General features: G+C 44.0%; 1 protein-coding gene and 1 pseudogene across 12 annotated transcripts in view; one reads left to right on the plus strand and one right to left on the minus strand.

Annotated features, from left to right (window-relative positions):
* Positions 1-2,467: 2,467 nt before the first annotated feature.
* On the minus strand, positions 2,468-20,745 carry FAM72C (family with sequence similarity 72 member C). 11 transcript variants are annotated; one of them, XM_047424428.1, is made up of 5 exons: positions 20,549-20,745; positions 18,171-19,855; positions 16,105-16,182; positions 12,036-12,160; positions 2,468-3,662 (listed from the first exon to the last, which is right to left on the minus strand). In XM_047424428.1, exons 2-5 carry the CDS (start codon positions 18,320-18,322, stop codon positions 3,568-3,570), a joined length of 450 nt encoding a protein of 149 aa, XP_047280384.1. In that variant the 5' UTR covers positions 18,323-19,855; positions 20,549-20,745; the 3' UTR covers positions 2,468-3,567. The 11 variants fall into 11 exon arrangements, 10 of the variants coding, with proteins under 10 accessions (XP_047280384.1, NP_001332996.1, XP_047280387.1 ...); NM_001346067.2 differs by lacking the exon at positions 18,171-19,855 and adding an exon at positions 20,141-20,358; XM_047424431.1 differs by lacking the exon at positions 20,549-20,745 and having other exon boundaries at positions 18,171-18,302; positions 18,907-19,243.
* The window catches only part of SRGAP2D (SLIT-ROBO Rho GTPase activating protein 2D (pseudogene)), a 97,066-nt pseudogene continuing 93,168 nt past the window's right edge, over positions 19,820-23,717 (plus strand). The window contains exons 1-2 of the transcript NR_120535.1: positions 19,820-19,947; positions 21,725-22,334. The product of NR_120535.1 is annotated as an SLIT-ROBO Rho GTPase activating protein 2D (pseudogene) (transcript). The remainder of the gene's footprint in view (positions 19,948-21,724; positions 22,335-23,717) is intronic.

Genomic DNA, 23,717 nt, shown 5'->3' on the forward strand with positions numbered 1-23,717 from the left:
TTGCCCAGGCTGGTCTCAAACTCCTGGCCTCAAGCAATCCTTCCTCCTCAGCCTCCCAAAGTGCTGGTATTATAGGTGTGGGTCACCATGCCTGGCCGAATTAATTTTTATTACATGTCTTGGAAGGTATGGGGGACAACTTAGAACTTCCCAAATAAGCAAGATACTTTTAAATTCCCATCAATTTGTTTACACTATTCCCTCTGCTTAAAACTCTCATCCCAGCTGGCAACTCCTAACTGCTTCAAAGCCTGCCTCAAGTATCATTTCTTCTCAGTAGCTTTCTCAATTCCTATGCTCTCTTGCTCAACTCCCACTCTCTCCTGCTACTCAGAATGATTGCTCTTTCATCTCTGGAGTCATAGCACTTTAAGCATGCCTTTGTTAAATCACTTAACCCAATGAAATAAATGGACTCACAGAGTTCTATCCTTTCCTCAACTTACTGTGTACTCCCTGAAGGCAAGTGTGAGCATGTCATTGTACAATTCTTGCCACACTATTGGAGAATAATACAGGTGTGTTGAATTGAATGAAATATTAAAAGAGGACCAAAGAATAGATGGATCTTCTAGGCCTAGGAATTATACTAGGAGTAGAAGGTGTATCCTAAATCCATGTATGTGATTCTGCTTTGGTCTTACCAGAGTGAATGTAATTTGCTTTTATTTAAAAACAGTGTTGACAGGCCATGCACAGTGGCTCATGCCTGTAATCCCAGCACTTTGGGAGGCCAACGCGGGAGACCACCTGAGGTTAGGAGTTCGAGACCAGCCTAACCAACATGGAGAAACTCCATCTCTACTAAAAATACAAAATGAGCTGGGTGTGGTGGTACGTGCCTGTAATCCCAGCTACTTGGGAGGCTGAGGCTGGAGAATTGCTTGAACCTGGGAGGCGGAGGTTGTGGTGAGCCAAGATCACACCATTGCAGTCCAGCCTGGGCAACAAGAGTGAAACTGCATCTAAAAAAAAAAAATCCCAAAAACAGTGTTGGATTCACACTCATGCGTGTAATCCCAATACTTTGGGAGGCCGAGGCTGGTGGATCACTTGAGGCCAAGAGTTCAAGACCAGGCTGGCCAACATGGCAAAACTCCTTCTACTAAAACTACAAAAATTAGCCAGGCATGGTGGTGCATGCCTGTAGTCCCAGCTACTCGGGGGTGCTGAGGCATGAGAATCGCTTGAACCCTGGAGGTGGAAGTTGCAGTGAGCTGAGATCATGTCACTGCACTCCAGCCTGGGTAACAGAGCGAGACCCTCTCTCAAAAACAAACAAACAAACAAACAAACAAACAAAAAAAGCCCCACAAACCAGTGTCATTTAGCCAGGTGTGGTGCATGCCTGTGGTCCTAGCTACAGGGGAGGCTGAGGCAGGAGGATTGCTTGAGTCCAGGACTTCAAAGCTGCAGTGAGCTATGATCACACCACTGCACTCCAGCCTGGGCAACAAAGCGAGACCCTGTCTCTAAAGAAAACAACAACAACAACAAAAAACCCTCAAACCACACTAGTGTCATGAATATATTTCTTTAGATAAAACTTTATTAATCAGCTTTCTGTTTAGAATTGGCTTTCCCATAATCCAGTTAACCAAAGGTAGTTGAGTAATTTGAAATATTCCCCAGCTGGAGTAGAATCACATTTGGGGCTTGCTTCAATCAGTGCACCTCTGTCTTGCTTTTGCTTTTCAGAGAGACCCTAGGTCAACCATAGCCTTTGAAGGCATGAGCTGAACGGAAACCAGATGAACTCTATTGAATTTTAAATTTGCCACATTTCCTAGTCTAGTATTAAACTTTTCTTCTCTAGTTGAGCAAGTTAACCAAAGAAGTATATATATATTTTTTCTCTTATAGATTATGCTCACCTAAGAACTTGAGGTTACAACACACACACACACACACACACACACCCAAAAAACCAAATCGCAAAACAAATTATTCCATACTCATTCCATTGGTTCTTTTGATGGCCTTCTGTCAGTGTTAATGGTTGGTGTGAAAGATTTTTGGAAACGTTTTCCAGGAGGGAGTAATAGCATTTCCTGAAGCACCTTTTATCTTGGTTTGTGGCAAATGATTCTTTCAATGCCCTCAGGTCACTTATACCCTAAGACCCTGCATGAGTTTATTCAACCTTCAAATCAGTCACTTCTGCCCTCATCTAGGGCACATAACAATGTAGTTAGTTACCCAGCAGGTATCGCGGCTAAGTAAGACCATAAATAAATCATATGAGCAGGAGCTTTTGGAGTCAGTCTTCTGTCTGAGCACCTCTAACCGGTTATGCTACCTTAAACAAATTACTTAACTTCTCTCTGTCTCACCTGATTTACCAGTTTAAAAAAAAAGGAATAATAATGGTACCTACCTCATAGGTTTGTTGTGAGGAGTTAAACGTCTAAAGCACTTAGAACAGTGTCTGGCATATGGTAAGTATTCAATAAACATTAGCCTTATATTCTATACTTTAAGTACCATTTATTTATATTTTTACATACAATATGTGGGCATAACAAAAAATTAAAGGAAGAATGGTCATTTTTAGAAAAAACTTTATTTACAAAACCACAACTCAGTCTGCTTTGGTATTGACAAAATCCCTACAACTGAGATATTAAAGAGATACATTTATTTTAGAGTTACATAAAACCAGAATCCAACACTACCCTACTTTCCTATTCCTTTGTGGCTCTGAATGCAGCTTTAAAAAAAACAAAACAAAGCAAAGCAAAGCAAAACAAAACAGCTCTTTATAATGTACAATGGCTTAAGCAAATCGCTTTAGTTTTTTTTTCTATTTAAGATTTAGGACAGACTACTCGTCTAAAATTCACTATTTACAGAGAAGGTCCTAGGGAACAGGATAACTTATTTAGGTTTAGCTCTCATAATACAATATCCATAATGGCTTTAGAAGAATGTAAATAAATAACATTGGTAAACAGCGTATACTGATATTTTCTGACAAACTCATTTATCTAACATCATGCTGAGCAATCAAGAGGATTCCTCTATATATTTTAAATTTTAATTTATTCTATTTCCTGATTCACAAACTCTTGCTCCATGTTAAAGCAGTTATCACCAATAGAACCTATGAGAACCAGTGCCCATGGAAACCTAACAGCTTGTTTTTTTAATCCCCTATTAAAACTCGGTTGAACTTGATATATGCATGGTTGAAATATGCGTGGGTACTAGGCCTTTATTCAGGAATGTAAAATTAATGGTATCTGGTATCAAGTTGTAAGAAAAACTCCCCCAGATTGGGAGGTAACTGAGTGATATGTGAAAGAATCTTCCCGTCTGAATTTAAGAATACACCTACACTGGGCAGAAAAAGGTGGGGGAGAGGAAGTAGAAGTAGAGGAAAAGCACAACTCCACTGGCTTCAATCAAACTGAGGTAACTAATTAGAGACAGAAAATAAATAAATCAACAAATGCCCCATTTTTGTTTTCCAAAAAAGATCACTGGCAACTAACAATTTTAAAGTTGATCCATTAATATATTTTTAAATAGAAAAAAGTTTGTATATCATATATATCATAATTCCATTTATCTAATACACTCCTCTGCTGAGATATTTAACACATCTTCATCTGTACTCTCTTCTATCTCTGGCAAGTTGCCCCGAAGTAGGACGTTTACACCTGAAAATAAAAAGTCATAAAATTCTTTAATGCTTACTACTGTTATAACTCAGAACACAAATTACGAAACTTTATATGTTAATATTCTTATGTAAACCATAGTGTTAGCAGTAAAAAGAGTAGCTATTGAAGAATGTACTGCAAATAAAATTACCTAATATTATCCATCTAGGACATAAACTTTATTTATTTATTTTGAGAGAAATTCTCTCTGTGTTGCCCAGGCTGGAGTGCCTGGCAGGATCACGGTTCACAATCACAGATCACTGCAGCCTGAACCTCCAGGGCTCAAGTGATCCTCCTACCTCAGCCTCCCAAGTCACTTGGACTACAGGCGTGTACTACCACACATGGCTAATTTTATTTTGTAGATACAGGTTCCCACTATGTTGCCCAGGCTAGTCTCAAACTCCTGGGCTCAAGCAATCCTCTCTCCTTGACCTCCCAAACTGTTGGGATTACAGGCATGAGCCACCATGCCTGGCAAACACTTTTTTTTAAAGGGCTAGGACATAAACATTCTTTAAATCCTTTTAAGCAAGGGCTTGAATTCTAGAATTTTACAGCTCAAAAGGCTCTCAGGAGTCCATTTACTCAAACTCTGCCTCCAGCTGCATTATAACATAATCACTATACACTGATAATTTTCTGATCTATTTTAATGATGTTTAAGAATGGAGATCTCACAAGATCCTTTTAGATTAAATGCCTCTTTGGAGGGTTCAGGGAGAAGTCCTGAATAAGTCTCCTCATCCCTTCAATAAGCAGAGAAGTAGCTGGTGCCATTTTTCTGATTCAGAAAAAAAGCAAGGGTTCGGAGCCAGTTATAATATGAACTGCAATCCTTGGTACCAGTGGGTTTCAGTCCACAGGCAGAGCTTTAAACTGAACTTTAGGGCCAGGTTGCAGCAGTCACTATAATAAACAAAAGAATAATCAAAAACTTCACTGAGAAAGAATAGTCAGATTTCATATTGAAGAATGAAGCACAGGTATACAGTAAATGACTAAACATACAGTAGAGGATAATGACAAGTTTATTACTCTGGGCATATATTACATTATTAGTTAAAAGCACTAAATGGAAAATAACTGACCTCTAGGATAGCCAATTAACTTCACAAGAAAAGCAAATCTTTTTTTTTTTCTTTTTGAGTCGGAGTCTCGCTCTATTGCCCAGGCTGGAGTCGAGTGGTGTAATCTTGGCTCACTGCAACCTCTGCCTCCCAGGTTCAAGTGATTCTCGTGCCTCAGCCTCCCGAGTAGCTGGGACTACAGGCGAATGCCACCATGCCTGGGTAATTTTTGTATTTTTAGTAGAGATGGGGTTTCACCACGTTGGTCAGGGTGGTCTTGAACTCCTGACCTCAGGTGATCCCCCTCGCCTCGGCCTCCCAAAGTGCTGGGATTACAGATGTGAGCCACCACACTTGGCCAGAAAAACAAATCTTAAGCTGTCCAGTTATCAGTGTGGACACAAAGAGGATCCAGCAATTCAGGATACCCACCCCATATACACTGAGATAGCAGCCACATGGCGGAATGGAATGAGCCAGGATTTGGAGATTTGGTTTGAATCCAGTGTTCACCACTGCTAGTACACCATGCATGGTTTTACTACAAATGCATGCAACATAGACAATATATATTACTGTTTAGTGGATTTAAATTTTGTATAGAATGTTATTACACTACATATTGTTTTCTAATTTGCTTTTTCACTCGTCATGTTTTTGAGGTTAATCCATGTTAACTTGTGTAGATTTCGTTCATTTATTTTTACTTCTGGAGAGTATTCCATTTTGTGAATTTTTAAAAATGTTGCAAATACAGCCCATTGCTCATCCCTTCCTCAGCTGCCCATCTTGCATAGGTGGTTCAAGGCGACATGCACAGGGATGTGTAGTGTGACATTGTTGAAACAGTAGAAATAATTAACTGTTTACCTTGACTGAGGGAGATACTGGAATCTAATCTGGCAAGAATTTAGCATGTATCTGATGCTGGTAGGGATACAGATGTGTATCTTATTATTTTCTATAATCTTTTCGTGTTTGAATTGTTTATAATAGAAAACGCTACCCCATCCCCACCCCCACCCTAAGAATGAATGGTGTTCTGCTCCAGGTAAATGTCATGGAAGAGCTGACAGGAAGAGCTGTAAGGAATTGCGAGGCAAAAATCAAAGTGAAAATTAGAACCCATAAATGTAAATGGAGGGCTGAAGCCATTTTGACTCTGAGGGCATTTGCCAATTTCAGGAAATTTGAGCTGAGGTTTCCCAAGGCTCCTCCAGAAAGTTCTGGGAAATCAGGTCTCTAAATGAAGACTAGCCTAGAAAACAGACCTCCAGGAGTCCTTTTCAGTTTAAACATTATAGAATTTATAAGGCTTGTCTATGCATTCCTTTGACACTGCTGGTTCAGGTGATTCAAGGACAGTTGTGGCGCCATTAGAAACTTGCTTTGATACCAAGCATCTAGAAAATCTTGCTTGAAATCACAATATTAGGGTTACAAAGCAGAAGCTTGATATTCTTGGAGTCAGTACTCAGAGACATGAAGCAGCTCAGCACAATTGGTTCAAAGGAGGAAAAATAAACTAAGAGATTGGATCTGACAGAAGCAGCACCTTCCTTTCTCTGTTAAGAAGGGAGGAAGGAAATCCTGTGATACATGTTTCTTATGGATTAGATTCAGTGCAAATGGAAGAATGCGGGGCTTTTATCTTTGAAAAATTGACCAATATTAAAAAGTAAATCAAACTTGAAAAATCTCCACCCTGTGTTTTGAATTCTGTAAAGCAGGAAAAATACTATCAAAGCAGAAACTTCCTTTAATGTGTCCCATGGGCAACACAAATATAAAACTGGAGACTTAAATTAGGAGACTGTATCCCACTTAGGGGAGTTCAGATAAGTCCTTACATGAAAATGGCCTTCTTAACATACCAAAGTTTTAAATTAAGACCCCATAAATGATAGATTGAGAGCCACAGTTGAGTCCCAGATAAAAAAATCAAATCTACAAAAATCTAAGCATAATTGGAGGATTTAAAGACCCTTGACAACCTAGCTTGCAATTCGTGATCTTTTGGTCTGTGAAGGCAAATCATATATTTAAAAAATACATTTAAGTTCTAAAGGAGACTAAAACATGCATTTAGGAACCTAAGAATGCTAGTGTCAACTTAGATTGTCAAGTTACTTAAAGTCGGCTGGCGAGGTGTCTCAGGCCTGTAATCCCAGCCCTTTGGAGGCCAAGGTGGGCAGATCACTTGAGGACAGGAGTTCGAGACCAGCCTGGGCAAAATGGCAAAAACTGGTCTCTACGAAAAATACAAAAAATTAGACAGGGATGGTGGCACACACCTGTGGTCCCACCTATTGAGAAGGCTGAGATGGAAGAATGGCTTGAGCCTGGGAGGTCGAGGCTGCAGTGAGCCAAGATTGTGCCACTACACTCCAGCCTGGGTGACAGAGCAAGACCCTGTCTCCAAAAAAAAAAAAAAGTTCCTTAAAATCAACTTGGTCTGTTGTGTAAATAGATGTTAGACATGGAGAACATGTGTCTTATAACAAAACTCAATGGCTCCAGGCAATATAAAAAGTATTATATAAATCCCCTTTAAAAATTGGTACTTTGGCCGGTGCAGTGGCTCACACCTGTAATCCCAGCACTTTGGGAGGCTGAGGTGGGCGGATCACCTGAGGTCAGGAGGTCGAGACCAGCCTGGGCAACATGGCAAAACCCCGTCCCTACTAAAAATACAAAAATTAGCCAGGTGTAGTGGTGCGCACCTATAATCCCAGCCACTCAGAAGGCTGAGGCAGGAGAATCACTTGAACCCGGGAGGTGGAGGTTGCGGTGAGCCGAGATCACGCCACTGCTCTCCAGCCTGGGTGACAGAATGACTCCATCTCAAAAAAAAAAAAAAAAAAAAAAAGGTACTTCAGGCCAGGCATGGTGACTCACGTCTGTAATCCCATGTAATCCCAGCACTTTGGGAGGCTGAGGCAGGCGGATCCCCTGAGGTCAGGTGTTCAAGACCAGCCTGACCAACATGGTGAAACCCTATCTCTACTAAAAATACAAAAAAATTAGCTGGGCGTATGCCTGTAATCTCGCTACTCGGGAGGCTGAGGCACGAGAATCGCTTGAACCCGGGAGGCAGAGGCTGCCATGAGCCAAGATGACACCATTGCACATCAGCCTGGGAAACAAGAGTGAAACTCTGTCTCAAAAAAAAAAAAAAAAAAGAATTAGTATTTCAGTGCCTCAGCACCTTAACACAAGGAAAAAGAATTTTTTTTTTTTAAAAGAATTGGTAGTGTACTTTCTTACTAAAATATTTTTTTTTTTTTTTTTTTTGAGACAGGATCTCACTCTGTTGCCCAGGCTGGAGTGCAGCGGTGCCACCTCGGCTTACTGCAACCTCCACCTCCTAGGTTCAAGGGGGGTTTCATCATATTGGCCAGGCTGGTCTCGAACCCCTGACCTCAAGTGATCATCTGTCTTGGCCTCCCAAAGTGTGGGATTACAGGTGTGAGCCACCATGCCTGGCCTTGCTAAAATAATTAGTATAGGCATACCTCAATTGTGCTTTAGTTTATTGTACACCATAGATACTGGGCTTTATATAAATGGAAGGTTTTGGCAATCCTGCATTGAGTAAGTCTAACAGCATATGCTTACCTTGTGTCTGTTACATTTTCATAATTCTCTCAATATTTCAACCTTTTTCATTATTATTATATATATTATGGTGATCTGTGATCTTTGATGTTACTGTTATAATTGTTTCAGGGTGCTATGAACCACACCCACTTAAGACCACACCCACTTAAGACTGCAAACTTAATCGATAAATATTTTGTGTGTTCTGACTGCTCCACTGACCAGCTGTTCTCTCTCTCTTTCCTGGGGCCTCCCTATTTCCTAAGATACAACAATATTGAAATTGGGCCAGTTAATATCCCTACAATGACCTCTAAGTGTTCAAGTGAAAGAGAGTGGCATGTCTCTCACTGTAAATCAAAAGCTAGAAATGATTAAGCATAGTGAGGAAGACATATTGAAAGCTGAGACAGGCTGAAAGTTGGGCCTTTTATGCCCAATTGTTAGCCAACTTGTGACTGCAAAGAAAAGTTCTTAAAGGACATAAGAAGTGCTACTCCAGTGAAAACAAGAATAAAAAAGTGAAATAGCCTTATTGCTGATATGGAGAAAGTTTTAGTGACCTAGATAGAGGATTAAACCAGCCATGATATTCTCTTAAGCGAAAACCTAATCCAGAGCTAGGTCTTAACTCTCTGCAATTCTATGAAGGGCAAGAAAGTTGAGGAAACTGTAGAAGAAAGTTTGAAGCTAGCAGAGGTTGGTTTATAAAGTTTAAGGAAAGAAGCCATTTCTATAACATACAAGTTCAGGTGAAGCAAAAAGTGCAGACGTAGAAGCTGCAGCAAGTTATCCAGAAGATCTAGCTAAGATTATGGATGAAGGTGGCTACACTAAACAACAGATTTTTCTTTTCTTTTCTTTTTTTTTTTTTGAGATGGAGTTTCACTTTTGTTGCCCAGGCTGGAGTGCAATGGCGTGATCTTGGCTCACCGCAACCTCCGCCTCCCGGGTTCAAGCCATTCTCCTGCCTTAGCCTCCCAAGTAGCTGGGATTATAGGCATGCGCCACCATGCCCAGCTAATTTTGTATTTTTAGTAGAGACGGGGTTTCTCCATGTTGGTCAGGCTGGTCTCGAACTCCCAACCTCAGGTGATCTGCCCGCTTCGGCCTCCCAAACTGCTGGGATTACAGGCGTGAGCCACCGCGCCCGGCCTCTTATTCCTTTTTTTTTTTCAGATGGAGTTTCACTCTTGGTGCAATGGTGCGATCTCGGCTCACTTCAAACTCCACCTCCTGGGTTCAAGTGATTCTTCTGCCTCAGTCCCCCAAGTAGCTGGGCATGTACCACCACGCCCAGCTAATTTTTTATTTTTAGTAGAGGCAGAGTTCTACTATATTGGTCAGGCTGGTCTTAAACTCCTGACCTCAGGTGATCCATCCACCTCGGCCTCCCAAAGTCCTGGGATTATAGGCGTGAACCACTGCATCCGGCAGAGATTTTTAATATACACAAAACAGCCTTCTATTGGAAGGAGATGCCATCTAGGACTTTCATAGCTAGAGAGGAGAAGTAATACTTGGCTTCAAAGCTTCAAAGGACAGGCTGAATCTCTTGTTAGAGGATAATGCAGCTGGTGACTTTAAGTTGAATCCAATGCTCATTTACTGTTCCGAAATTTCTAGGGTTCTTAGGAATTATGCCAAATATACTTTGCCTGTGCGCTGTCAATGAAACAACAAAGCCTGGACGACAGCAAATCTGTTTACAGCATGTTTTACTAACTATTTTAAGCCCATTGTTAAGACCTACTGCTCAGAAAAATCCCTTTGAAAATATTACTGTTCATTGACAATGCACCTAGTCACTCAAGAGCTCTGATGGCATTGTACAAGGAGATAAATATTGCTTTAATGCCTTAACATAACATCTATTTGGCAGCCCATGGATCAAGAAGTAATTTAATCTTTCAAGTCTTATTATTTAAGAGATAGATTTCATAAGGCTATAGCTGCCATAGATAGTAATTCTTCTGATGGATCTGGGCAAAGTACATTGAAAACCTGGAAAAGCACATTCCTGATTCATGGGAGGAGGTCAAAATATCAGTCTTAACAGGAGTTTGAAAGAAGTTGATTCCAACCCTCATGGGTAACTTTGAGAGGTTTTAGACTTCAGTGGAGGAAGTAACTGCAGATGTGGTAGAAATAGCAAGAAAACTACACTTAGAAATGGAGCCTGAAGACGTGACTGCATTGCTGCAATCTCATGATGAAACTTTAATGGATGAAGAGTTGCTTTTTATGGATGAGCAAAGAAAATGGTTTCTTGAGGTGAAATCTACTCTTGATGAAGATGCTGTAAATATTGTTGAAATGAAAACAAAGGATTTAGAATATTACATAAACATAGTTGGTAAAGTAGTAACAGAATTTGAGAGGATTGACTCCAATTTTGAAAGAGGTTCTACTATGTGTAAAATTCTATCAAATGGCATCACATGCTACAGAGAAATCTTTTGTGAAAGGAAGAGTCAATCCATGCGGCAAACCTCATTGTTGTCTTATTTTAAGAAACTGCCACAGCCATCCTAACCTCCAGCAACCACCACCCTGATCAGTTTGCAGTCATCAACATCAAGGCAAGACCCTCCACCAGCAAAAAGATTATGACTTGCTGAAGGTTCAGATGATCATTAGCAGTTTTTAGCAATAAAGCATTTTTTTTTTTCTTTTTTGAGACAGGGTCTCATATTGTTGCCCAGGCTGAAATGCACTGGCATGATCACAGCTCACTGCAGCCTCTACCTCCCAAATTCAAGTGATCCTCCCACCTCAGCCTCCTGGGTAGCTGGGACGATAGTATGCCCCACGATGCCTGGATAATTTTTGTATTTTTTTTGTAGAGATGAGGTCTCAGCATGCTGCCCAGGCTGGTCTCAAACTCCTGGGCTCAAGTGATCCTCCCGCCTTGGACTACCAAAGTGCTGGGATTACAGGCATGAGCCACTGCTCTCGGCCGAATAAGTATTTTTTGATTAAGGTATGCACATTGTTTTTTAAATGTCCTGCTATTGCACACTTAATAGACTACAATATATTGTAAACATAACTTTTATACACACTGGGAAACCAAAAAATTGTGTGACTTGCTTTAATTGTGATATTTGCTTGCTTTATTATGGTGGTCTGGAATTGAACCTACAATATCTCCACTTGTGCCTGTACAACATACTTTATACTTTGGTGTCAAATATTTCCCTTGACTAAAATTCTGTCATAACGTATTAACATAGATGTCGAAATGTCTGTTTTTATTCTGAAGCATCACCAAATACAGAGGTTACTTAGTCCTCCTCCTCTCAACTCCCATTGCCCTAGGCCTGGCCTCTCCCTTTCTTACACACACACACAGACACACACATGCATTAGACTATCAAATCTAAAATCTTCAAAAATTCTCTGGAGTCAGAATATGTATCAAGGCAGCAGTTAAGAGCAATTATAATATTCATTTTAAAAGACCAAGAAATTCAGCCAAGTTTGAGGCCTTAAGTACAAGGATGAACATAGAAATGACAATGAATTTTGCCTAATAGTTTTCATAAGTGAATGTCTGGGAAAAAAGAATTGAAGTTTCACTCTAGCTAATCCAGCTAAGAAGATCTAAAAGGAATCCTGAAATGATCTATTGGGAATTTTACTCAGGTATTGATAGAGAAATGTTACAGGAATGTCCAAGTCAATTGTTTCTTACCTGTGGAGTCTAGTCTGTTAATATCATAAACTGCCTGGCTGTGAAACATCCAGAAGTGTCTGTTGTTGCAGGAAAGAAGACAGGAACTACATGGAACAATCACATGATAAACTACAATGTTCCCACTAGAAAAGAAAGTAAATGTTACTAGATACCATGTAATAACTAGCCAGATAAGTCTTTTCATATTGCTTATATAAATAGACCATATAATTTAGATCTCATTTCCTAACAACTTTCATTGCTGAGATCTTTGGGATGGGATGGGGGTGCAGTTCTACCATCAAGTGGGAAAGCAGTCTTTAAGTGAATAATAGTAAAATATTCTCACATTTCTTTGCTATTATTATTATTATTATTATTATTATTATTATTATTGAGACCGAGTTTTGCTCTTGTCACCCAGGCTGGAGTGCCTGCAACCTCCGCCTCCCAGGTTCAAGTGATTCTCCTGCCTCAGCCTCCAGAATAGCTGGGATTACAGGCGTGTGCCACCATGCCCAGCTAACTTTTGTGTTATTAGTAGAGATGGGGTTTTACCATGTTGGCCAGGCTGGTCTCGAACTCCTGACCTCAGGTGATCCACCTGCCTTGGCTTCCCAAAGTTCTGGGATTACAGGCATGAGCCACCATGCTTGTCCTGCTAGTATTATTTTATGCATTCTCCCTTCAGAAGTTAGCTTCTAGATGCCATAATGTTGTGATTTGTTTTATAAACCACCCAAATTGATGTGCTGTACAGACAAAATAAATTAAATTAACTCAGTTCTGTGGGTAAAGGTTTTTGCTATCCCAGGACTGTGGCAAGTTGGGTTCTTACATGTTCTAGTTTCATGCCAGCACCTAAAAACTGTTTCAACAGATGGAGAGGTAGGAAGACAGCATGAGTCCCTGTAAACCAAATACAATCTGGCTGCTCTAATTTTAGTCTCAGTGTTTTTGAAGGAACTCAGAAATAAAGCAATCTACAGCCTCCAGAGAAAGTTGCAAAAGTTTTTACAGTTTTCAGAATTATCCAGCTGATTATAAGTACCTCAGTCTTTCACAATTTTTTTTTTTTTTTTTTAACTAGCTAGTCACATATTAAATAGAGTGAACCTACAGGGAATGTTTTAGCTAGTACTTTAAAAAAAATAGCAACATGAACTGTTTATACCTTGAGTTGTAAAAATTCTTATTCAAGCTTAGTCTTACTCTGTGAGATTTGTGAGTCAGTCATTTTTATGAGACCCAATAAAGATTACTATAAAAGGTACCATTCCACCTAAAATATGTCTTCTAATTATAACTTGCTTGAAAGGCAAACAAATGAAAACAAAAGTTGTGTTTGGACTAGGAGTGCCAGTTATTTGTAAGACTATATTGCAAAAGTAAATTCCATGACTTTAATTACCGCCTATATTCATTCATTCATCCATTGATTCATCACTTAAACTAACATTTATTGAGTATCTGCTATCTTTCAGGCACTGCTCTAGGTGCTAGGAATACACTGGTAAACAAAACAAAGCCCTTGTTGTCACGGAGCTAACAGTCTAGCGAGGCTACATCAGATCATTCTGCTCCCTGGTTAAAACCTCTTCAATAGCCAAAAATGAAAATAAAAACCTTTCCATACCAAGGTCCAGATCTATGCTGTCAAGAATAATAGCCACTAGCCACATGTGGCTGTTGTACACTTGCAGTGGGGCTGGCCTGAATTGAGATGTGCTGTTAAGTGTAAAATGTACACCAGATTTCAAAGAGTAAGACCAAAAAATGGAATATAAAATATTACATTAGTAGTTTATGTTGGTTACATGTTGAAATAATATTTTGGATACATTGGGTTAGACAAAATATATGATTAAAATTAACTTTCCTGTTTTGGTTTTCTTTTGAAAATGTTGTTCTTCAGGTGCGGTGGCTCATGCCTGTAATCCCAGCACTTTGGGAGGCTGAGGCGGGTGGATCACTTGAGGTCAGGAGTTCGAGACCAGCCTGGCCAACATGGCGAAACCCCACCTCTACTAAAAATACGAAAATTAACTGGGCATGGTGGCACGTGCCTGTAGTCCCAGCTACTCAGGAGGCAGAGGTGAGAGAATCACTTGAACCCAGAAGACGGAGGTTGCAGTGAGCCAAGATCATGCCATTGCACTCCAGCCTGGGCAACTGAGCAAGACTCCGTCTCAAAGCAAAACAAAAAAAATGTCGTTGCCCAGGTGCGGTGGCTCACACCTGTAATCTCACACTTTGGGAGGCCGAGGCAGGTGGATCACTTGAGGTCAGGAGTTTGAGACCAGCCTGGCTAACATGGCGAAATCCCGTCTCTACTAAAAATACAAAAATTAGCCGGGTGGGCTGGGTGCGGTGGCTCACGCCTGTAATCCTAGCACTTAGGGAGGCCAAGGCAGGCGGACTGCCTGAGCTCAGGAGTTTGAGAGCAGCCTGGCCAACATGGTGAAACCCTGTCTCTACTAAAATATGAAAAATTAGCTGGGCATGGTGGTGCGTGCCTGTAGTCTCAGCTACTCAGGAGGCTGAGGCAGGAGATTCGCTTGAACCTGGGAGGCAGAGGTTGCAGTAAGCTGAGATCGTGCCACTGCACTCTAGCCTGGGCGACAGAGCAAAACTCCGTCTTAAAAAAAAAAAAAAAAGAAAAGAAAGAAGAAAATAATGTCCAAAGGCCAGTGACTTCATCTAGTTTTTGTTGTATTTCCAGCCCTGGTAACAATGACTACCACATACTAGTTCCTCAATACAAGTATAGCTTAAATAAAGGAATGAAATCAAATAGCACATAAGAAGAGCTTGCCAATTTAAATTATTAGGATTGTCATTTATAATACAAACCCCTTCTAAATACAAACCCCATCTAAATGAGAAAATTTCAACTTTTATCCTCCTAAAATGAAAATAATAACACGTCTACTTCTCAAAAGATTATAGTAATAGCTCTCAGCTGTTGTAATTTATAGTTTATTGAGCACTTTAACATTCATATTTGCTCTTTATAATAACTTGATAAGGTAAACACAGAAGATTATTAAATTTCTATCTTAATAAGACAGAATGGCTGGGTGGGGTGGCTCATGCCTGTAATCCCAGCACTTTGGCAGGCCGAGGCAGGCGGATCACCTGAGGTTGGGAGTTCAAGAGCAGCCTGACCAACATGGAGAAATCCTGTCTCTACTAAAAAAAAAAAAAAAAAAATTAGCTGGGCATGGTGGTGCGTGCATGTAATCCCAGCTACTCAGGAGGCTGAGGCAGGAGAATCACTTGAACCTGGGAGGTGGAGGTTGTGGTGAGCTTAGATCGCGCCATTGCACTCCAGCCTTGGCAACAAGAGCAAAAACTCCTTCTCAAAAAAAGAAAGAAAGAAAGAAATTAAGGTAGGATGCAGTGGCTCATACCTGTAATCCCAGCCTTTTGGGAAGCTGAGGAGAGAGGATCACTTGAGGCCAGGAGTTTGAGATCAGCCTGGGCAACATAGCAAGACCCTATTGCTACAAAAATAAAAAACTTAGCCAGGCCTGGTGGTGCCTGCCTGTAGTCCCAGCTACTCAGGAGGCTGAGGTAGGAGAATCACTTGAGCCCAGGAGTTCAAGGCTACAGTGAGCTATGATCATGCCACTGCACTCCAGCCTGAGCAACAGTATGAGACCCCTCTAAAAACAAAGAAAGAAGGAGTAATAACCTAGAAATTAAATAAGAAAACAGAGGTTCAGCAGTTTAGAGGCTAAAGGAGTTCACTCAAGATCACATAGAGAGTAAGGGTAGGGTCAGACCTCAAACATGATTTTTATTATTGTAAATCCAGGTGTTTCTCCCCCCTAACCTACATTGCCTTGTTCTGAAAATTGAAGCGGATACTGTGAATACACTTTGAAAACTGTAAAATTATATACTAATGTGAAGCATCAGAAAACCCTTTTAAAAAATAGCTCTAAGTAATAAGTAATTTTTCAATGGCTCATTGCATGCTTTATACCAGTCCTTGTTGCAGCCCACTGAACCTTTCTCTATGCTTTGGTGTCAATATCCATCTTCCAAACCCAGAGCTATCCAGAATAGTGCCACAAATTACCATTTTAAACATGCGATGTCCTTCAGTTTACATTTGCAGATTTTGGTGAAATAGCATCTTCCAGTGAAGTCCACTGCGCTGGAGAGAGAAAGGTATAAAAAGACAGTCAGATGTACTTTACAAAAAATTTAATTGTGGCAAAAAATTAACAAAATTTACCAACTTAACAAGTTTTATGTGTGCAGAGCAGATGTGTTAAATATAATCACATTGCTGTGTAATGAATCTCCTGGGTTCAAGTGACCCTCCTACCAGAGTTTCCTGAGTAGGTGGAACTATAGGCGCCCTATACCACATTTTGTTTATCTGTTCATCTGTAGAATCAATGGACATTTGGATTGCTTCCACCTCTTGGCTATTGTGAATAATGCTGTTAATGAACATGGGTGTGCAAATATCTCTTCCAAGATCCAGTTTTGAATTCTTTTGGATATGTACCCAGAACTGCTGGATCAGATAGTAATTCTACGCTTGATTTAGCACAAATTTTGTCAATCCAAAGAGCTGAAAGCTAACATAGAAGTATAGTATATTTTTAAAGAGTCAGTTCATATTTGTGAGCTCAACATAAACATCTGACAAATTTTCCATTAAAAAAATTTTTATGTGTTCATTGATTCACATACATCTTAGCACACTAATTCATTATTATTTTAACCCCTACAAAGAAGGGTAGAAAATAGGAAAAACATGATTCTATTCTAGACTTGGGTCTAACCTGTAACAATTCACCTAGCCTTCCTTATGACTGCCCTATTACTTACCATAGCTATTGCAAAGATGAATGGGTTAATATTTTAAATTTGTGTATGAGCTACTAAAAAGAAAAAGCAGTGGACAATGAATCACAGAACTTTGTAGCAGTAGGTTCTATGATTTATTTTCTAGTGTTTTCCCTTTTTTGAAATACATATACGATGTACACACACACAAATGTAAAATATTAACTTAGAATTTAAAAAAATTAAAAAGATTTTAAAATAACACATTTATCTCTGCAATAAATGAGAGCCTTTGGCTTTGCTGTTAGACGTGATTACACTTAGACCAATTCAGAAAAGATTTCAAGAAAGGAAGAGTACACAGCTTTACCTGGGTAAATCAAAAAACTTGTAAAGTTTCTATCATTATCATGAAATTCATTTAAAATGAATTGTGGTTATTAACCTGCTTCCTCTGGCTCTATATCCAAAGACTTAGAGAATAACTGTCCACTCATATTTTGGATAATTACTTTCCTTTTAATAATAAAATTTCAATAAATAACTAAATTTTGAAGATTCATGTAGGGCATATATATGTTGATTATGGAAAGGGAAAGTACCATTTAGAGCTAGAAAGAGGTTTATTTGAGTCAAATAAAATGGCTATTTTACCAAATAGGAAGCAAATTCTTAAGGACTCTACACCCAAAAGCAGTTAGTGGCTGAAAACAAACAGATTTTAAAAGGGTTCAATTATGGGAACAAATGTGTAATGTCCAAAATAGTCTTTATTGGAGATAAGGATTAAGGCTAAGTCTCTATTTTTCATCCCATAAAAATCTATTTACATCTCTTTCAGAGAGAGAGAGTTTTGAGGAAAGAAAACTGAATTTGATGAACAACGGATCTGATTTAGGATGCCAATTGCAAATAATGATAGAAAACGGATTTTTTTTTTTTGGTGCAAAATTTCATGGATAAAAATGAAAAACTTAAATGACCTCTCCTCTCCAACAGTACAGAAAATTTTGCCTGAATTTACCTAAAGTCTACGCCACGGACTTGATTCAGTGAAATAGGATGGTTGGGCAGGGCACTGAACCAGGGATCAAACTTAAGAGATGTGTGGTCGCATGACTGCAATTGAACTAGAAGCATTACATCAGGACTGACCACCTTGGCTAAACCACAGACTTTGTCCAGACAGTCTGCCCACTTAGATATATTCCAAGGGGATCATCAAACTGGTGGGAGTGGCTGAAACACCGAAATGATAACCTCCTTGTTGACTCCCACAGATCCAAGCCATAAGTGTTCCCATTTAGTTAAAAGCTACCGTTGCCCGCCACTAGCATGACTTACTTGGTAGGAGGGATGTCTGTAGAGAAAAGGTCTATTTCAGTATCAGCCAGCAAAACAGCCTTCATTCCCCTAGAGCTGAGCACTTGTTTACAGAATTTGCAACACAGGATGGACACGCACCTGTCCTTGAAACTACAAATGTTGGTGGACATGGCGTCGCAGGAAGGATGAGGTGTGGGATTTTGAAAAAGGAAACAAGAGTAATGCTCCTACTATTTTGATTCCCCTAGGCTAAAATTCAAATTGCGGGACCTAGAGCTTTTCTAAGTCCTAATATTGGGAAGGAAATTAGTTTTTTTTTCTGTTTTCCCGGTGGCGGAGTAGAAGAAGTATTTATTGAGTAGGAACAGGGGAGCGTGGCAAACTTGGCTTTCCTTTTAACTTTTGGAGAAGGGAGTGGAGTTTGAATTGGAGAGGAGGCAGGTGGAGTTTGAAGGGAACTTCTCAACGGCTTTCCCTTTCTGCTGTCTAAAGGAGTCCTCTACACTTCAGCTCCCGCCCCTTCATAGCAATTCCCTCAGCCTTCTCCGATCGTCTAATTTAAAGCTTCTCCTCTTTTAAGACATCCCTTCCCCAGCATTAAGCCCCTCCCCCGGAGCGCTCCGGTTCCCTGCTGTCGGATCTCGGGCTAAGCGTCCCTACCCACGCCTCCTCTTCCCAGGATTCAGAAACTCCCTTCTCTTTTTCTGCCAGGCGATCCCGGATTCTCCTCCGTCCCGCCCCTTTTCTCCCGGACCTTCCTCCGCTCTGCGGGTCCGCGGGCCCCTCTCCTGGCAACCCCCGGCCCTCAGCGTGCTCGCGCTGTTTCTCTCGCGTCCTCCCTTCCCTCAGCTGTCCCTCGTGCCCCCCGCAGTCCCCTCAGGTTTCTTCCCGGAGCGGCTGTTCCCGGGCGCGCGGTGGTGTTGGTGGGGCAGAGCTGAAGTCGCTTTAGAGGCTCAGTCGGCGCTGGGGTCTGTCACCGAACACGTTGGTTTTCGCTCCCTCTTCCGCTTTTCCTGCCTCTCCAACCCGGTATCAGTTTGAATTGCCAGCGCCGCGCACCGATTGGAAGAACTAGAGTTAGCCCCAGTCCCTCATTGGAAGGCTCCGGGGCCTCCCCTCACGAGAGCTTAGTGGCTTGAAGACCGTAGGCACCGCCCCAGTAACGGTGCTGAGATCAATTCGGCTTTCTGGTCGGCTGAGCTTGGCTCCGCCTCCGATCTCATTGGCCGGCTTCGGGAGGTTTCGGCAAACCCTGCTTTAGCCCTAGTGAAAGTGGCAAGGCACGCCCTTCCCGCTTCTTATTGGAAGAGGGTCTACAGTCTCCACCGGTCTCTACTCTTTATTGGTTAAAATTCCCCGCAACACCCCTCCTCTCTACCCCGGCCCAATTGGCCGTGCCTCAGCTCAAGAGTTTGTGTTTGGTCGTCGGTTCCACCTTAATCCCGCCCATCAGTTCTACTTAGGGGTTCAACAACCCGGGGTGGAGCTTAATCTGTGACCACGCCTCGGCAGTGCTAGTCACACCTCCAAGTTTTGCCAGCTCCTCCCCCTCATTCCGGGCCTCTCGGGATCAGCTCTTCCTATTGGCTATGGGCCCCATCGGTCGATAGAAAACGGGCGGTGATTGGTAAAGGGGTGGGCTCTACTTCCCGGCGGGGTCCTGCGGAGTTGGCGGAGGCTCCTCCAGGGACTGGGGCACAGATCTGCGTAGAAACGGGTGGCGGGGAAGAGAGGGGAGGAGAGCTCTGAGTGGGAAGCGGAGCCGGGGGCCTGGGACCCGTCGCGTCAGAGCCAGGTAAAGGCTCCTTCCCTCTTCCTTTTCTTCCTCCCGGCCGCCGGGCTGGAGCCCTGACTGAACAAACCCGGGCTGGGGCGGGAAGGAGAGGGCGCGGATGCTGCTCGCGGCATCGCCTTAGCGGTGCCGCCCGGAATCCCTCAGACCGCCCCTCCTCCACCCTCTCCAAATCTCCCAGTACAGCCCATAATACTTCTCAGGACTGCGAGTCTCTCCGCCCATCACTGTACAGCCTGGGACTCCGTCCTGGCTCACGGACCGCAGCGCAGCCGGCACCCAGCCGCCTCTCCCTTTCCTCCGCACACGGGCAGCCGCGGTCCACCGTAGGGCAGTCGTCGTTGGCATCGCGCGTAATCATCGGCCGGCCTCCTCCAGTGTCTCCCAGCCCTGGCGGACAGCCCGGGTCCCAGCCTAGGACCCAGGAGGATGGGTGTTCCGCGCAGCTTCCGGGGCTCTCCCCGAGTCCCACCCCCCGGCCCGCCCCGATGGACTTCTCTTCGCCCACTCCCATCCCTAGACCACATCTCGGCCCCCACAGTTCCTGACATCCTTGCGCTTCACGCAACATCGCGGCCCATGATCATGCCCCAATTCCCCTCACCTCTAAGGCAGCCTTCTCCTTGCCGCCTCCCGCCTTCCGAGCGTGTGCAACTCCAGTTGTCCCCGGGCTCCCTTCCAGCCTCAGGACCCCATCTCACACCCGCCTCTCGCTTCCCGCTTCCCGCTCGCCTGAACCCCGCCGCCTCTGCTCCCTGTCTTGTTCCCTCAGCGTGGCCCCTTCCTCCAGCCGCGGGAAGTGGGAGACGCTAGCGGGAGCTTCCTCCTCCCGGCGCTCGGAGGAAAAGGAAAGACCAAGTAGAAAGGGTCGCCGCTGCGGCACGCGAGGGAGCTAGTCGCCGGGCTCCGCGCTCCCGCTTGCGTCCCTCCAGCCCCCTGGGCCTCGTCCGGGGCCGGATCTTCTCGGGCACCGCCTGGTGCGAGGAGTCAGGACTGCGACCTCACCGACCTCCTCCCATCCCCAGCCTGGGATTGGGTGGGATATCTGGGATCTCTGAGCTTGGGTGTCAAAAAAATATTGGGGGTGGCATTTATAGTCACTATCGTCCCTAGCTTGAGGGAGGCGACGGCTGCCTTCCGCTCGCCGCCCCCCGGTTTTCCCGGCTCCGACCCTATCCTCTAACCCGTTTCCTGCTTCAGCTGACCACATTGTTTTCCTGGATGTGTCCCGTGCCGAGCAGGCTTTTTCCTGCAGATTTGCCCCCCCACCATCAACATTTTGCTGCCAAGAGAAGCTAGTAACCAAAAACAAAACAACTGGGAGGAGGGGCGGGAGAGGAAGAAAAGTTGTGCCCTGGTGGCTTGTCCCTCCCCGGCTTTGATCCCCTTTGATGTACAGGGAGGTGCCCCGGCCGGGGGTCTGGGGCCACGTCGGGGGCTAGGTCGGGAGGGCTCCCTGGGGCTGGCCGCTGCCCAGCGCTGGCGGGGCTCAGGAGGCCGCCGAGGTGCCGCATTCCCCGCCCGGTGCCCCGCGTTCCTGCAGTCCCCGCCCGGAGCCCGCGCAGGCGGCTGCTCCAAAGTGTTTTCTTTCAGCCTTAAAATCCGGAGGGAGCTTCCTTCCTCCCCACCTCGTAGCGCCAGGCTCTGCGGGCGGGGAGACGTTAAGCGGACAGGAATGGGCCCAGGGCGGGCTCGGAACGACGTCCCCTACCCCACCCCCGCCGCGATTAGGATCTGCGCTCTGGCTGATCGCCCCCTCCCCCTTTTCCTGCATTTACAGGCAAGTGAACCGGAGCAAACGACTTCCGATCCAGTCTGCGCTGTTGCAGCTCCCGTTTGGGATTTGATTTGCAGCATCTTTGAGCCTCTACGACAAAAAAACCGCGAAGCACGCCCAGCCCTCCCCCGGCACCCCGAAAAGCACCCACTCCCTCCCGGGGACACAGCTGGGCGCGTCCACACCCCCGCAGCCCCACACCATGTTGTGCGGAAGGACTTCCACTCCCCGCCTGTGTCGTTGATGTCAGACCCCAGGCCAGCCTCCGGGCGCTGCAGTTCTCCCGGCTAATGCTGAGGCTGCGGCTCCGGCTCTAGCACAGGCACCAGCCGCCGCCGCACCCGGCCTCAGCGCCCACCGTCTGCATGTGCCCGCCGTAGCCGTCTGCCCAGCCCGCAGCCCGCGCTCCACGGAGCGCTGGAGACCACCGTGGGGGGCCCCTTCTGCCCTCGAGAGAAGCGGTCTTGGAGGTATTGATTTAAGTGGTTGGATTTTTTCCGTGGATCTATCAATTCACAATTCGAATTTGGAAGAAAGAAGGAAAACATGACGTCTCCAGCCAAATTCAAAAAGGATAAGGAGATCATAGCAGAGTACGATACTCAGGTCAAAGGTAAGGGTTTTGAAAAATAGCACACTGCAAATGCTCTGTGGACTGGTGAGGCGTGTATTTCCACCGTGATTTGCAGGTTGTTCATTTCTTTGGGTGGAGCAGATGGGGGCAGGCTGACCCCAGAGGTGGTTTCATAGATGGGTCTGAACCTCCAAAGGATGGGCAATGCCAGGGGGCCATTGACACTGGAAAGGAATTTTTGCAGTGGGCTGTAGGAGTATCTTTGTGGGGCTGACCATGATTTTGGCAGCCCTTTCCCCCCAAGCCGGGCAGGGTGGGGGGAGGGGCAGGAGGCTCTTAGAGAAAGGCAGTTTGCCTCCGGTTCTCTGGGTCAGGTTTCCTTGAAAGACAACTGAAATCTGACAGGTGTTTGGACATTTGTTTCAGAGATTGAAGAGGAGTCCAGACAGAAAGGCAACCTTGGGAAGGTGTACCATTTGGAGAGCCTTGGGAGAGGCGGGGTTTTTTGGATGCACTATATTAAAACATGAGATTTGCAATGGCATTGGCACCAAAAGTCCATTGCCACCTTGGGTGTACCTTGTACCTGCCTGGTCTCTGGTCGGCCTGCATACAATCAGAGATCAGAGAATAAGGCCACCCACGCCCGGTCTCCGCCCTCACCTAAATCTGAATAGAGTTGGGAGGATGTTAGGGTAGCCGGTTGGTGCTGATTCTGGAAAATGGGAAGACATAATTGTTTAACCCTTCTGTGCTGTGGCCCTCTGCTCCGGAAGACATGCTTTTAAAGCCCCATTTCCCTCTCCTGAAAAATGTGAAGGGTAAAGCAAAATGTGGACTAGGAGAAACCAAGTGACCTGTCTTCTCATCTAGTCGACTGACTTGACTCATGAATAAGAGCCCTTACTCAGATAGCGTTTTTTAAACCAGCAATTCCCATAGGAAGGGTTCCTGCCTGTTAAAGAGCTGCAGCATGTGTTTGTGCAAGGCACTGTCCCTTCCTGGTCAGTCACTGGAAAGAGCCATGTGGCTCCAGCCCATTGAGACCTTAGCTGGGGAGTGGAAGAGGTGGGTGGCCTTGAATGTTACACCACATGGTTGGAGCTCTGGGTTTTCCTTTGTTTCAGAGTACAGAGGGAGGGGCCCCTCCTTTCCCTGCACCAGTGCAAGGAGACCTTTTCCTATCAGAGAGGACTTGGGAAGGGCCATGGCTCCCCTCTAATGATTGCTGGGGGGTGGGGGTAGGCGTAGAGTTTGAAATGGGCAGCTCCCTTATCTCTTGGAAGGTTGGAAGGTAGTCTGAAGTCCTCATTGTACCTACAGGATCTTTTTTATGTCATTAGTTTGGTCAGTGCTGGAGGTGCCCTAAGGGGCCTTCTATCCACTTGGCTGCAAATATTGGTAGGTTTATTACAGAGATGG

This window comes from Homo sapiens, chromosome 1 (assembly GCF_000001405.40).
Source record: "Homo sapiens chromosome 1, GRCh38.p14 Primary Assembly".
NCBI classification, from domain to species: Eukaryota; Metazoa; Chordata; class Mammalia; order Primates; family Hominidae; genus Homo; species Homo sapiens.